The sequence below is a fragment of the Homo sapiens genome, chromosome 3, assembly GCF_000001405.40.
Source record: "Homo sapiens chromosome 3, GRCh38.p14 Primary Assembly".
Classification (NCBI taxonomy): domain Eukaryota; kingdom Metazoa; phylum Chordata; class Mammalia; order Primates; family Hominidae; genus Homo; species Homo sapiens.
In genome coordinates this window covers 155,447,682-155,462,286 of record NC_000003.12, presented here as the reverse complement: position 1 = coordinate 155,462,286, position 14,605 = coordinate 155,447,682, and the positions used below count along the sequence as shown (strand labels likewise).

General features: G+C 39.7%; 1 protein-coding gene and 1 long non-coding RNA gene across 2 annotated transcripts in view; one reads left to right on the top strand and one right to left on the bottom strand.

Annotated features, from left to right (window-relative positions):
- Positions 1-11,353, top strand: part of PLCH1 (phospholipase C eta 1) — a 294,138-nt gene extending 282,785 nt beyond the window's left edge. Inside the window, exon 24 of the mRNA XM_017005927.2 lies at positions 542-11,353. Within this exon, the coding sequence (XP_016861416.1) occupies positions 542-573 (32 nt within the window). The 3' untranslated portion in view covers positions 574-11,353. The remainder of the gene's footprint in view (positions 1-541) is intronic.
- On the bottom strand, positions 4,534-13,103 carry PLCH1-AS1 (PLCH1 antisense RNA 1). The gene is made up of 2 exons (NR_046746.1): positions 12,862-13,103; positions 4,534-5,599 (listed from the first exon to the last, which is right to left on the bottom strand). It is a non-coding gene; the product is annotated as a PLCH1 antisense RNA 1 (long non-coding RNA).
- Positions 13,104-14,605: the final 1,502 nt, after the last annotated feature.

Here is a 14,605-nt window from a genome sequence, read left to right as displayed (position 1 = left end):
ACAAGTTTCACTGGTCACAGAGTCGCCACGAGGTGCCTCAGTGAGTGCTGCACTCCAGATGTACTCCTCTCTGCCCCCATTGTGGTAGCAACAACCCCAACCTCTCATAGCAATCAGGGTTTGTTAAACTAGTAAGTACAGTAATTCTTTTCTTGCTTATCTACTGGCATGGATCAACATAGTTGCAATTTCCAGTTCAGTGGAACACAATGTGTCCTCTAAGAAGCAATACTGCCTGGGAATGAGGATCACTAACACAGCAGATATAAGATCGTAGGAACAGAAAGTACACATTTTGAATGCTTCATTTGGAATAATTGTGAGAAGGGTGGTCCTAGTTCCACCTTTTGGTTCCCAGAGCCCTTGCTTTTCCAATCCATACATAGGATCTGAGCCTGATACTATGGCCACTTTGTTTATGAGCCCATCATCATGCAAGCATTGGATTGACCAAAGGAGGGGGCTGGCTGATATTCAGAAAATAGGTCATCCTATCTACCTGATTGTCAAGAGCCTCCTTGTGGCTGTGCTTATTCTTTAGGGTCACTCCGGAGAGGAACTGTATGGAGGTAGTGGTCCCTTTCTGGAGAACCTCAACATATCATACCACACTCTCTTTGAATTGACTCAAGGTCTTCCCTTCTCCATCAGTTGGTTATAGAGGATTTCCCATGAGGCCATAAGTATGAGTTGAGGGAGTGACACCAGAGCCAAACAGGTAGGTGATCTGAAGGTCTGGGCAAACAAATCACATTTTTTGTGTGTGTCTTCTGGACTACTTGAGTCTTTTCTTAAAAGTACCATTTTCTTCATATAATAGTTTGCTCCTGTGCTTCTCAACCTTTTTCTGGGCGTTTCTATTAAGACCATGCTCATGATGGGTAGCTCCAACTGCAGTTACATGGTGGACCATAGTCATGCTCTCAGGTTTTACCTCACAGGATATGTCCCTGCATGCTCTAGATCTCTGGGTCCCTAAAAATCTCACTGGTGTTGCAGGCCCCTTAATCATTAGGTACTTATGGTCTAACTTGTGATATGTCTGTATCTTATCAGGACATTCAAGTTGATTGATCTATTCTCTTTATTAGGTCCAATTAGAAAAATGTCAATCAATATAGAAGACTAGCATAATGTGCTGTGACATATGAAGATGATAGAGATCATTACAAAACATACCATTATAGACAGTAGAATTAACACAGACCCAGGGCAAGGCCGTGAAGATTTACTGCTGTCCTTACAAATGTAAAGGTGAGCTGCTTTTGATTTTCCCTACTGATGAAAGTCAGGAATAAAGCATACAGCAAAATAATAGACACAAACTAAGTGCCAGAGGTTAGACTGGTATACTCTTAAAAAGAAAAATTATATCTAGCACAGAAGCTGCAATTGTGGATACCACCTGGTTGAATTTGCAGTAGCCCACTAGCACCCACCACTATCTATCTATCTATCTATCTATCTATCTATCTATCTATCTATCTATCTATCTATCTTCTATATCTATCTATCTATCTATCATCTATCATCTATCTTTGTGTATTTGTGTGTATGTTTGCAGAGACCAGATAGATGAAATGACTAGGGATACAATGGGAATTGCCATCCATGAATCCTTTAAGTCTTTGTTGGTACTAATTTCTGCAGTTCATCTTGGGAGGAGATATTGCTTCTGATTAACTATCTTGGCCTGGAGGGGGGGCTAACACTGCTCCTTTCTATCATAAAGTCCCTTAACTCAGGTCAGGAAACTAAGGGCCAACTTCTAAGTATATCTATCCCATTAGACATTCAGAGACTAGAGAAGTAACAGAATGGGTCCTTATATCTATTGGACCCATTGTAAGATGGACTTGAGCCCAAATCCCATTTATAATCTGATACTGATAATACTCCATTTCCAACTACAAGACAATGGTGGTGGTGTTTTGTGTCCCCTGGTATTGGTGCCAACTGTGAGAATACCTAGACTTTTTGTCTGTCCAGTACATATTTTGGCAAATTTGGGCAAGGATTAAAGAAATAAATGTCATGCTTGTGTGACATTGTGAGGAACAAGCTTTCCTTTCAATCACTGGGTTCTAGATCTGTGAGCTGACTTAGATCTAGTAACTAGAAATTGCAACTGTCCATTATACTGTCCAGCATCATCCTATGTTCATCAGTTCTCTATTATTTCTGATTGTACAAATCAAAACGCTGGTTCAATGATTCTTAAACTTTAGTGTGCATCTCAACCACCTAGAGAGCTAGTTAAAACACAGATTGCTGGGCCACATCCCCAGAATTTCTGCATCAGTAGCTGAGATGAGGCTCAAGAATTTTCATTTCAAACAAGTTCCCAGATGGTGCTAATGCTGCTGATCTCAGGTCCACACTTTGATAACCACTGCTGTAGATGGCTGCTTGTCTGTGTCATCTTTGGGAAAATCATCATTTCTTAGCTATAATAAAACATCACTTTGGGACAAGGCACCTTCACTGCCCCTCTGGCCATGCTGCTCATTATGGTCATTACATCCACCTGGGCTCTGCCTTGATCAACTCCCCATATCCCCATTGCTATTAGAGTCAACCCTGGCCTGACAGGACAACCAACTGTGGGTTCTCAGTGATGCTGGTACTCAGGCCCTCCTGGAAAATATAAACAGCTGGGGGATTCAGTGTCTTTATTCTAATAGTCCCCCTTTCTTGAGCCTCTGACCCCTTTCTCAATTACTCTGCCAAAGAGGTTCCAACATTTTAACTCAATTTACTTTACATTTTCACTCAATTTAATTTACATTGTGAATCCAGGCTTCGAGGAGTCATCTCAGCAAACTGCTAGGACTGGTGTCCTTGTTAGACATGAAATTCGAAATTATGGTTGAGTTATACACTCTAATAAATATTTTCCTCTTCAGCCTTAATTCTACTTCCCTGGTCTAACACCCTCAAGATTTACCCATACAGGTGTTTCTCTGGTTCTTGTTTGATACATTTATGATCTGGTCCCACCACCTGCCATAGATCAAACATGGTCACAGAATGCCTTAAAATAGCAATTAGCTGCCTCATACTACCTATCAAGGATTTCAATGTCATCATAAGTATCTAACCACTGCCAAAGTCCTATAATTATCATCATCCTTATATTGGTAAATTGCAGCGACAACTTAATATTCAAAGACTTACCTTAAACCCCCACCTTATCCCAATTAGCCACAAATAAGAGCTTTAGTAATTCTAATGTCACAGCTTGCCCGTTGTTATTACTAACTATCCCACTCTGGAACCAGTTTTCTCAGCGTTGGTTTCTTGGAGTAGACAGCAGAAGGGGATAGCTTTTGTGCTACTGTTTTATGGAGGTACAACCCTAGGGAAGCAAGAGTAAGGGGGAAAAGAGTGCAGTAAAGAAAGAGGGTAGGAAAATACAAGGTAGAGTATTATAATACCAAGGTAACCATGCCTTCAGAACAAAATAGCTGGTTGTCCCGTCTTTTAAGACATTTCCAGAGAGGTCAAATAAAACCATCGCATCTCAGAGCAGTCCGTTAGGGGAAGAAATAATAGACAATGTATCTGCTGACTTTTTTCTATCTCTTGTCTTGCATTGTTGAAATCTGCCTCCATGGGACTTAACTATTTGAAGTCCACATTTCCAGTTTACCCACACTTTTTTTCTTTCTTTCTCTTTCTAAACATGGTTTCTTTCTTTCTTCCTTTCTTTCTTTCTTTCTTTCTTTTTCTCTTTCTTTCTTTTTCTTTTTCTTTCTTTCTCTTTCTTATTTCTCTCTCTTCTTTCTCTTTCTTTCTTTCTTTCTTTCTTTCTTTCTTTCTTTCTTTCTTTCCTTCCTTCCTTCCTTCCTTCCTTCCTTCCTTCCTTCCTTCCTTCCTTCCTTCCTTCCTTCCTTCCTTCTTTCTTTCTTTCTTTCTTCTTTCTTTCTTTTTTTTTTTTTTTTTGACATGGAGTCTTGCTCTGTTCCCCAGGCTGGAGTGCAGTGGTGCAATCTTGGCTCACGGCAACCTCCGCCTCCCAGGTTCAAGTGATTCTCCTGCCTCAGCCTCCTTAGTAGCTGGAATTACAGGCATGCACTACTACGCCCCACTAATTTTTGTATTTTTGGTAGAGATGGGGTTTCACCATGTTGGCCAGGGTGGTCTTGAACTCCTGACCTCAAGTGATCTGCCTGCCTTGGCCTCCCAGAGTGCCGGGACTACAGGCATGAGACACTGTCCCCGGCCTTACCCACACTTTCTAATCTATCCCTGAGGAAGCTGGAGCCTCTCTGGGTCCCCTCTGGCAGATTATGAAGATCTCCCTTTGTCATTTGGAGCTGTGCACGGGAACTCCTCAGTTGGTGGTGGCAGTGCCACAGAAGTTTGGATGTAATAGCCATGGGTGAGGTGTGATCTATTGCTGAGGCTGCTCTGGCGGGGAAGCAAGGGTGACATTGATGGGGGTGATGGTATTGGTGGGGCCAAGCAGATCTGGCTTGGCACATAAAATGCATCCAGCTCAGTCAGCATATTTAACACTTATCAAAGACATATGAAGAAGCAATTTTAATATAGTATTAAGATTTAGAAATTGGAGAAAAAAGATTTAACCGAATTCCTTGACCTTATGAAGTTATAAAATATTTTGTGAAACATACACATAAATAGATAATATTAATATAATGTACTAAGTGCAGCGACAAAGGCAAGCATGGGTTAAATAGGAAGAACAGAAAGGGGCAGCTAGCTTGGTTTGAGGGGCCTGGTCAGGGAAAATTTTCTGGAGGCAGGACCAACTACAGAGGCATGCAATCAGGTAGCTTAGGGCCTTACCCTCAGAATTGTTAGTGCTTGGGGCTTAATGCTCTGTGGCCCCCTTTTGAAATTTTTAGTTTCATCTTTGAATTTGTGTTTTGTAAATGAAGTCCAATGGGACAATGGAGCACATGATGGGCACTTGAAGCCTCTGCTCATCTTGTGCTATTCACTTTTGGCTGCCTCCCTCCTCCCTGGCCCATTTACAGCCTGCTAGAACTCTAGGGCAGGAGGAGGCCATCATCCTCCTTTTTCCCAGCAGAGGCCACAGCATAGAAGCATGGAGGTTCAAGGTCAGGTTTGGCCATCACTCTTTTTCCCCAGCAGGGGCCACAGTGTAGAAGCATGGAGGGTCAAGCTCAGGTTTGTGCGCCACAGTGTCCGGGGCAACGCAAGGCAGCAGTTGTTTCTGCCTTGGCTGGCAGAGCAACAGCCGTGTTTGGATCAGCAGGGACTTCTCGCCTGTTCCCAAATCAGATGCCAAGTGTTTCCCTGTGCAAAGTCTAAATATTTTGGATTGGGATGACCTCCTGTGGAAGGGATATGTTGAATTCCACCTGTGAGATTTTCGTTTTTTATTTTGCACTGGGCCACCCAAATTATGTGGCCACCTTGCCTGGAGGCAGCGATGATGCTCAAATTGATTTGTGAAGGATGAGTAGAAATTTTCCAGGTGAAAAAGGTGGGAAAGGGGTTGAAAGGGTCTACTAAGGAGTGGGAAGGAAACAAAAGATTTCACCATTTATGCAGAAAATGTATTTTTTTCTCTCTTGAATATCTTGGCGGATGGTAGTTCCATTTCCTGAAATGGAGAAGAGAAGGTATGAGTGGTTCAGGGAGGAATCTGAGTTTCCTCTGGGTATGTTAATTTGAGATTCCCATTAGACCTCCTTTTGGAGATGTCTAGTTGACAGTCTGGAGTCAGGGGCAGAAATAAGGGCTGGAAATAGGCTTAACGCCATGGGATCAAGTGAGGTTGCCCAGGTAGGGAATGTAAATAGAGCAGAAAAGAGGATTTGGGCACCTTTGTTTTAGATCAAACTTGTCCAACCCATGGCCTGTGGGCTAAAGGCAGCCCAGGATGGCTTTGAATGTGGCCCAACACAAATTTGTAAACTTTCTTAAACCATTATGAGATTTTTTTTTTTTTTTTTAGCTCATTAGCTATCATTAGTGTTAGTGTATTTTATGTGTGGCCCAAGACAGTTACCTTTCTTGCAGTGTGGCCCAGGGAAGCCAAAAGATTGGACACCCCTATTTAAATGATGATCAGAAGAGGAGGATACGGTAAAGAAGGAGGACATTCAGGGGAGTATCATAGAGAAAGAGACGAAAGTATTTTGAGAAGGAGGTCAGCACATAGTTTGAAAAGTTTTAAGTCAACATCAGAATTTCAAGGTATTTCATATAAAATGTGGACTTTTAGCCTGTCTTGAACAATCGACAGGGCAGACAACACTGGCCCACATTCTGCGTGGTAAGAACCCAGTTGCAGGCACACAGAGCCTGTGCTCATGAATGGGCGTGCATGTTCCAGCTTCACTTCTCCACCTAGTAGTCCTTGTCACCCTCATTATTAGGGCTTATCAGTCCTCATTTGTGATTGTGCTTTCATCACTGAAAGTCCTGCAGGCAAGAACTATTTCTCTGTGTGTAACTCTCCAACAAAGCCAGGAAAAGAAAAGATAGCCTATGGGTTTAAAAACAAAATTGGAGAAAGTGTATTTCTTTGTAGAAGTAAAGAATATTCTGTGTGCTTAATTAGGAAACAAAGCCTCTTCAAAAGAAACAGCTTTGCCTGTTTTACTCAGTTATAATCCATTACCTCCCTGGCTTCTGTATGCTTTCCAGTTGACCCTACCCTAAATTCATTTGCAAATTCTGTTCCCAGAACCAATATTTCTCAAATGCTTTCATGTTATTTTTCTTGCTCAATTAACTTCAGTGAGTAGTGAATGTTGGTGTCCACATTTTCTGAACGCAGAATATACTAATTGAAGCTGTTTTTAAAATTTAAATGCACACTTAGGAGCATTTATCTACCATTCTCTGCTGACCCTCCTCCCAGGTGCTAATTTAGGACCAATGCCAGTTCAGATCAAATTCTACCTGAAAGACTATTTTCTAATCATGCCACATGTAGGGACCATCTTGGGGACAAGACAGCATCTGTGTGGCAGGAGTAGTTCACTCCAGTCCCCTTGAGAGCCCTTGCCTCTGGGGGAGCTGCAACCAGTGGCAGGGTGAGGGTTGTGGCTTCTGCATCCCAGGGTCGGCTCCTTCTCACCACCCCCTTCCCTTCCTCCAATTCCTCCCTGAGAGCCTCACCTTCCCTAGTTCATCACATTCCGGTGACACAAATATCCTATTTATGGGTATTAATTATATTAACACATAATAGTATTGTAAATTAGAAACTTCATCTCTCAGGAGAAAAGAAAACTAGTTGGTTTTATCCTTTCTTGCAAATTCAAGGTGGTACTATAGACTAGTGGTTAGAAGCTTCACCTCTTTGCCAAAGTGCTTGCATTCAAATCCCTTTTCCTTTATATCTTATTATGACCTGTAAAATGGGAATAATGACCCACCTCATCTTTTATGTGTAACAGGGGGACCAGCCCAAACTGGGCCTACTCTGTTGATAACAAAATGTCGAGTTACCTTGTAGGTATAGCAGAGGAAAACTACAAGTCATGTAGTCCAGGAAGACATAATTAAAAAAAGCTTTGACTTCTAACAACATCTTGAACCAATGATTCCTTCCCTGGAAACCAAAAAGACTGAGACATGACTGGAACCTGAACACTAGGACTCTTTCAAAAGCAAAGGGTCTCTTGGCCCTGAAGAGCTGGGGCTAAAATCTGCCTCAATACACCTTACCATAAATGGTCAAATTTGAAACTGTCCAATCAGACCCATGCCAAGTCAACATTCCTAAATCCTTTTCTTTGCCCTCTGATCCCTTGTAACTTTCTTTTTTCTTTTTTTCTTATTTATTTATTTATTTAAGATGGGGTCTTGTTCTGTCACTCAGGTTGGAGTGGAGTGGCACAATCATGGCTCACTGCAGCCTAGACCTCCTGGGATCTAATGATCCTCCTGCCTCAGTCCCCCAAGTAGCACCACTACGTCCAGCTAATTTTTGTATTTTTTTGTTGAGATGCTGTTTTGTCATGTTGCTCAGGCTGAAAAACTTTCATTAGATTCCAAATCAGGGAGACAGATTTGAGCCCAACTCCTTGCTGGCTGATTTGCAGTAAAACCTTTCTTTTCTCAAAAGCTGGTGCCATGGTATTGGCTTCTGTGTACATCAGATAGCAAGCCCATTTGCTCAATAACATGAAGATTATATGAATTAATACATAAAGTTCTTAATTAGTAGAAGTTGGCACATAGTAAATGCTCAAATTTTTGCTGCTATACTATATCACTATTATGGTTATCTTATGGCATACTATTATATCTTCTTTCCATTTAATTATTGTATAACCACTAGGCTGACTTATTCTTTTCTCTGGAGTACAATTTTAATTTTTTTCCCACAGACCTTTCTGACTTATGCATAATTCCCTCCCTGTATCCATCCTTTTCTACTTATAAAGATAGAGAGAAATTTCTATTTTTAATTTGCAGAAAGATGCATATTTATTAGAAGAAATAGAATATCTATATTTATCTATAGATAAATACATATTTATAATTTATTATCAGAAATTAATCATAAATTATTAATTTCTAATTATTAATCAGAAATTATTAATTTCTAATTATTAATCAGAAATTTATATAGAAACAAAATAACTCATGTCAAAATCCTTCACTTGGTTCCAGTTACATTTTTCTTAATACTCCCATTCTCTTCATTAATCAGTTCTTTATTCTGAATTCCAGACATTTATGCATTGAATAAGTAGTCATTTTGCGTTGTATTTTAATGCAAGTTTATATGATTTACTTTAAGTAATGTTTTGAATTTATTTTTTCATTTTTGAACTTTTCATTTTGAAATGAAGACTTGGTAAACAGTTTCAAAAATAGTACAAATAATTCCTGCATATCCTTCACCCAGTTCCCCCAAATGTTTCATCTCAAAAAACCACAGTAAAATGATCAGAATCAGGAAGTTAGCACTATACAATAATATTAACTTATTTATGGTCTCTATTTAAATTATACCATGTATCCCACTAATATCCTTTTTCTGGCCTAGATTCCAATCCAGGATCCCACATTGCATTTAATTGACATATCTTCTTGATTTCCTTCCATCTGTGAAAGTTCCTTAGCCTTTGTCTTTCATGGTCTTGACACTTCTGAAGAGTGTTAAGATTTAATTCAGATTATGCCTTGTTGGCAAAATTCCATACACCTGATGTAATGCTGCTTCCACTGGGTGTGAGGAGGGCTCTTCTATTGGAAAATAAGCTTCATCAGAATTTAGGGGCTCACTATCACCAGCATTATCAGAGTCTTCCCACATGTACCCACTTTAACTTACAGGATCCAACTTATTTCCTGATCGATATCCTCATTTTAATAGTAGATACCTTGTGAGGCTGGGAGTTCAACTTGCAATATATTTCAGTTAGTCACAGAATGGGATACTCTGCATTTAATTTTCAGCAATCTCAGCCTTGTATTATAGGAGATAAGGGTCTCCTTCATAGCATACATAGATGTTTTGAGGTCATTTATGTGGCACTTGAGGTGGGAATTTGAATCCCAGAGCTCATCCTTATTTCATCATTTTGCCCATTGACATCAGGAACAACCATCTAATGTCATTACATTTATTAGACTCCCCAAAATGTTCAAAAGTATTATATACATAGTCACCCAGCTCCTTCCTTCTTGTACTTCCTTCAGATCAAGCCATACTTGATCTGGCCATAAAGGTACCCTAAATATCTCCACTTGATAACCCTAACTAACAGTGCTCTTTTTACTACTGAAGATAGAGTCATTAGTGTCTTTAAATCCAATCAGATTAGACTCTCAATTCTAGAAGCCCCAGAACCAATTACTCCTGATAACAAAATCATCTATGTTAACCAGGGTTCTCCAAAGAAACAGGGTGATATGGTTTGGCTCTGTGTCCCCACCCAAATCTCACCTTGAATTATACTCCCATAATTCCCATGTGTTGTGGGAGGGACCCAGTGGGAGATAATTTGAAGCATGGGGCAATTCCCCCATACTGTTCTCATGGTAGTGAATAAGTCTTACGAGATTGATGGTTTTATCAAGGATTTTTGCTTTTGCATCTTCCTCATTTTCTCTTGCTGCCACCGTGTAAGAAGTGCCTTTCTCCTCCTATCATGATTCTGAGGCCTCCCCAGTCATGTGGAACTTGTAAGTCCGATTAAACCTCTTTTTCTTCCCAGTCTTGGGTATGTCTTTATCAGCAACATGAAAACAGACTAATACATAGGGCCAGTAGGAGATAGAGAGAGAGAATGTATGTGTGTGTGAGAGAGAGACAGAGAGAGAGGGATTGAGAGAGATTTATTATAAGGAATGGGCTGATGTGATTATGGGGACTGAGAAGTCCCGGCAGAAGAGCTGATGGTACATACATTCCAGTTTGAGTAGGAAGGCCTGAGAAGCAAGTGAGCTGATAGTGTTGGTTCCAGTCTGACAGTGAAGGTCTGAGAACCAGGAAAGCCAATGATGTAAGATTCAGTCTGAATTTAGGCCCAAAAGCAGAAGACTTCTGTCACAGTTTGAAGACAGGAAGAGAGAAAACATTCTTTCTCACTTATATTAGGTTGGTGCAAAAGTATTTTGCCATTACTTTTAATGGCAAAAACCATGATTACTTTGCACCAACAGAATACTTTTAGTCCATTCAGGCCTCCAAAAAATGGAAAGAGGCCCGCACACATTGCAGATGGAAATCTGCTTTATTCAGTTTACTAATTCAAATGTTAACCTCATCAAGAAATACCCACATAGACATTCCCATAAGTAATGTTTAGCTAAATATCTGGGCACTACATGGCCCTGTTAAGTTGACACATAAAATGAACCATCACACCTTCTAAACACATCAAATCAGGAGGCACATAATGACATTTTGTCTAATTACTAGTGATGTTAACTTAGATCACTTGGATAAGGCAGTCTTTCAAATTTTCTTCACTTAACATTATTTTCCTCTTTGTATTTGGTAAATTTCTCGTGGCAAGATAATTGAGACCATGTAAATATCCTGTTTTTCATCACACCCTTACCTATTAATGATTCTTGATTGAGGTAATTATTACTGTAATGTTATCAAATGATGATTTTATATTTCTGTTATTTCTTCTATATTTATTAATTTGAATTCTCTTATTTATTTCTTGAATGATTGGTATCAGTATGGACTCATCAATATATATTTTTTATTTTGGGGGTTATAGTCCATTATTCTCATTATTAATTTTGTTACTCAACTTGTCATAGATTTGGGCATTAGGGGATCTTCTTTAAATCATATTTAAACAGCTTTGCTGTATGAATCCTCATGGTTAGGTATGTAAGGTTTGTATAAATAAACAAATTTTCTCTATTATTATAGCAATCCAGGTTTCTTCGCATAGAAATGCCTTAAAAAGTTTTTTTATCTTAAAAATGTTTAATTAAAAGTACTACACTAGATAATGGAAACTTAGTAACCACCCCAGATAAAAACAAAACAAAATAAAACAACAACAACCACAATGACCCGTCCCACCACTACCAAGTTATTTTACCCTTCCAGATCAATAATTGTTCATGGGCATTGTATTGAAATGCTGTAAAGACATTTTCACTGGCTAGAGACACTATTTCAAATGAAATATAAAGAAACATGAAAACATTGACATTTTAAAGTGACTCCTATGGATTTGATTTCGTGAATAATTAAAATATAGCATTTAGTGCTCTTATACATTTTATAACTCATTCATTTATATCAGTCTTTATATCTGAAAGAGGTTTAATGTGTTGTTTAAATTCATTGTTTTCTTTTACTGCAAGCCACAGGAAGAAATTCTAGCTATTTCATCCCAAAAGGAATGTATTGAAGGGATATAAGGTAACTAATAGAATGGAAGAGAAACCAAAAATCTGGCTCAGAAAAGAAGTATCAAAAAGAACTGCAGGAATCCATAAAGAAGGAACTAACAAGCAGACCCTTTGAAAAGCGTCTATCTCCCTAAAGATAGTCTTTGTGGGATTCTGTTCAAGATCCAAATATTAAAGACAGAGCAAGTAATCTAACTTAACTGCCAGTCCCAAAAAGATTGGTTCCCCTTGGAGAGAATGACGTCTTGGTTTGGGTTCCCCCAGAGCAGACTCTGAAACAAGGTTTCAAGAACAAGTGGTTTATTTTGGATATGATCCTAGAAAACCTCAGTAGGGGAGTGGAGAAGAGAGGCAGGGAAGGAAGAGAAGCCAATAAAGGATGTGTTATCAAAGCAGTTCCCACAATGAGCAATTGGAGCTTTATTCCACAGGGAGACAATCTAGAACACACATCAGAGTTATCTCAACCCAGAAGTGAGGAAGCTAGGATATTTTTCAACATTATCTATTATTTACACAATTTGCTGGGGGCTTCTGGGCATTAACTCCTGGGCACTTTTGGCTTGTCCTGTGTGTGAGATGAGTGTTCTATTGCAACCAGACGAAAGTTCTCAAGCAGAGACACAGGAGTTTGCAGTGACAGCAATCTTCTGTGAGTAGAAGCAAGTGCTGAGAAGACATGGGCAGAGCATGGCCATGTCTGCTGCAGTGGTTTCCTTAAGTAAGATTGGGATGCTGTTTCTAGAAAGAGATTGGCATCTTGGCAAGCAAAAGTAGTCGATATTTATTTTGCCATGAAGGCAAATGTCTCATTTTACAGGAAAGTTGTTTTCATGTCAAATGCTGTGTATAGTATGAATTAGGATGTTTTCAGCTACATGGAGGAGCCTACCAATTATAAATGGCTTAAAAGAATACAGATTGTATCAGGCATGATAAACTACTTTATGCTATGGTAACAAACAACCCCCACCAGTGGCTTAACACAACAGAAGTTAATTTCTTACTCACACAAAGTAACAAAGTTGGCTGAGGGTTCAGGCAGCTCGTCACAGCAGCTGTTTTTCAGGCATTGGCTCTTCCTTCCAGGCTGTTTGATCTTATGACACCTCCGTAAATATACATGCTCCCACGATTACTACTGCAGGGGAAGAGCAGGTAGAGAGTCAAACACGAGATAGCACACGACGCTTCTGGCAACATTTCATTTCATCTACCGAGTCATGGAGCCATGCTTTGGTGGAGAAATGCTGTGTCCCTGTGTGTCCAGGAGTAGAGAAGAACAGGATATCGGTAACTACAGGGAATAACTACTGCAAGGTTTGGAGGGAGATAAGTCCAGGGGTGTTTCAGTGGCTTGAGTGCCATCCCTTACTTGCTAAGGACATCTTTTTGTCACATAATGACTCCAGTAGCTCCAAATACCACTTCTTCTCACATCAATATTCATAGGCAGGAAGAGAGGGTTGGGGTCTCTCTGCCTCTTTTTTCTAATCAGGTGCTGTGGAGCTTCTCTTCTCCCACCCTGACTCTTTATCAAGGAAGAGAATCTTTCCTAAGAGCCTCTCAATAGACTTCCAATTATGCTTCACTAGTCAGAACTGGGTCATATGCCTACCTCTAGCTGCAAGGGGGCATCTGACATTTGCAGCCTCACTCATGAAAGTCAGGTTCTGTCAGCTTAGAAAAAGGGGTAGGAGAATGGCTGCTGTGTTCAGAATCAGCAATCAATACCACGTGTCTGCCACACACAGCAACAATATTCTCACTGTCCATGTATAGGATTATAAAACATGTGCCCCAAATCACTATGCTGTTGAAACACAACTCACTGAATCCCCACCATGTGGGAGTCTGAATCACAATCACCGACGGCAGAGTTGTATTTAATCACAACATACCAATTCCTGAGGAAATAGAGTATTTCTTGAAATCCAATATCAAGCAACTTCCTGGGAACATCTATTTGAAGGATCAGATGAGAAATCGTGGCTCTTATGTAACAATTCATAACAATTTAAGAGAAGTTTCTGTTATACAGAGTTTTCCAGAACTCATAATCAAAACGGTAGACTACAAATAAGTAGAAGGCTGGAGATTGACCAAGAAAATTTTCCCTCCTGAAAGATAAACTACAACTTGGCTTATTTTTCAAAGAATCAACTTCTCAGACTCTAGGCAGATAAATGAACACAAAATAACTTACTACTGTGTATTTTAGAATCATACACATTATCTGAGACTTTAATAACAGTTAAACAGATGGTAGATGGTAGCAGAGATGCCTGTTTCAAATGACAGTGGTCTAACAGCTCTCAGTTAAATTGCTTGTGACAGCAAAAGGAAAAAAAGACTTGCAATGCTATCAAAAGCTAAAACTTAAAAATAATTATAATAAACTGGAAAGAAATTTACTAAGTGGTGCTAGACTGAGGAAAAAAAATTCTATTCCATCTTTTACTCCGGAAACAAAGACAGCCTGAAAACAGTAGGAATATACTTTGTATCCCCTCTGTCTGCCTTAGGGAGCCAGAGTCTGCCTCAACCAAAAAAGGACACCTGCTTATTTAGGAAATGCTTTGAGATTCAATTTCACTTCCACTGAATCACTTCCTAGCTTCCACTAAGCCAGAAATTAAAGTGGGAACTCAGAGCCAGCTGAGCCATGATCCAGGAGGAGGTATCTTCCTACTGCCAGACATCCCATCTGAAAGGCCACCAACCAAATCACAAATCTAGGTGACTAAATTGCTTG